This window comes from Homo sapiens, chromosome 3 (genome assembly GCF_000001405.40).
Source record: "Homo sapiens chromosome 3, GRCh38.p14 Primary Assembly".
Classification (NCBI taxonomy): domain Eukaryota; kingdom Metazoa; phylum Chordata; class Mammalia; order Primates; family Hominidae; genus Homo; species Homo sapiens.
The window spans coordinates 69,585,204-69,586,539 of record NC_000003.12 but is presented as its reverse complement, the minus strand read 5'-3'; positions in this window follow the sequence as shown (position 1 = coordinate 69,586,539).

Here is a 1,336-nt window from a genome sequence, read left to right as displayed (position 1 = left end):
TCAGTTTTTCTTTAACTTTTATGTTTTAGTGTGTATCTATATAGACTAGTGGTCAACCAATGATTGGTTGGTGCTTGTGCTCAAACACCTTGAGCCCATAAGGCTCCCACTCTCAGCTGGTGGTAATGTGATAGTTTCAGGAAAGCATTCAAAATTTGGGCATTTTTCAAGTCTGCTCAAGTATTTCCTTTCTACTGAGCTCTCTTGGTTATCAATTTTACAAATACATAGGCTACCACAAAATCAGGGACTTGTGGAATGCTTATTAAGCTTTTCAATAGCTAACTCATCTCCCTATAAAGTTCTTATTAATCTTTTGATCTACCACTCATCCCAATCAGGACCACAATCAGCCTCAGAGAGCTGTAAGCTTATCTCCTTTGCCATTGGGAACAGGTTTTCCATTCTCTGTTCTAAATCAAGTTAGCATCCTCCACCAACAAAGCTACTAGTTTTCATGGTTAATTCTGTCTGATAAAACTACTGTACTGAGCAACTTAGGGTGTGGTGTGGGGGTGGCTATAGGCAAGAAAACCATAGACTCCTACAGTTCTTACCTGAAATTGTGCAGTCTTTCACGAATATATGATTCTCCATTTGTTTTTTCTATTTGGTTGATTTCTAGAGCCCCAAAATGATTGTTTTTGACAATTTTGTCCAACTTTATAGTTGTTTTTTGGAAAAAGGATTTAATTGACCTCCTTATTCTTTTATACCATCTCCATTTTTGTATGCATCTTGTCTGTTGATTGCAGGTTCCTCAAAACAGAATTGTCAGAGCAAGTCCTTGGACACTAACAACTTTTTCTATTGCAGATTCTTACTTGAAAACATTTTATTGTCTCTTGTTGGTTCCCAAGAAATTGGTTGCGTAACCCTATGAGAGTTGCATCTTGTCCACCTCTTTTACTCTATCCTTCCTTGCTTTCCCTGCACAAATAAATGGCTACTGACTCCAAGCAGAAAAGCATGGTGGGACACTTATAGAAGCTTTTCTAGGAAAGACTGTGGAGGGAAATTTAATCACATACCACTCAGCAAAAACACAGAATAAATCTCCATTCATTAATTATTCCTTTTCCTCAGTTTTATTAAGGTATATGAAATATAACAATTGTATATGTTTAAGGTGTATGTATGTATGACATGATGCTTTGATATCAGTAAACATTGTGCAGTTATTACCACAATCAAGCCAATTAACACATTCATGACCTCACATAGTTACTTTTTTGTGTGGCAAGAATACTCAAGATCTACCCTTGTAGCAAATTTGAAGTACACAACAAATTATTAACCAGTCACCATGCTGTACATTAGAATCCAGAACCTATTC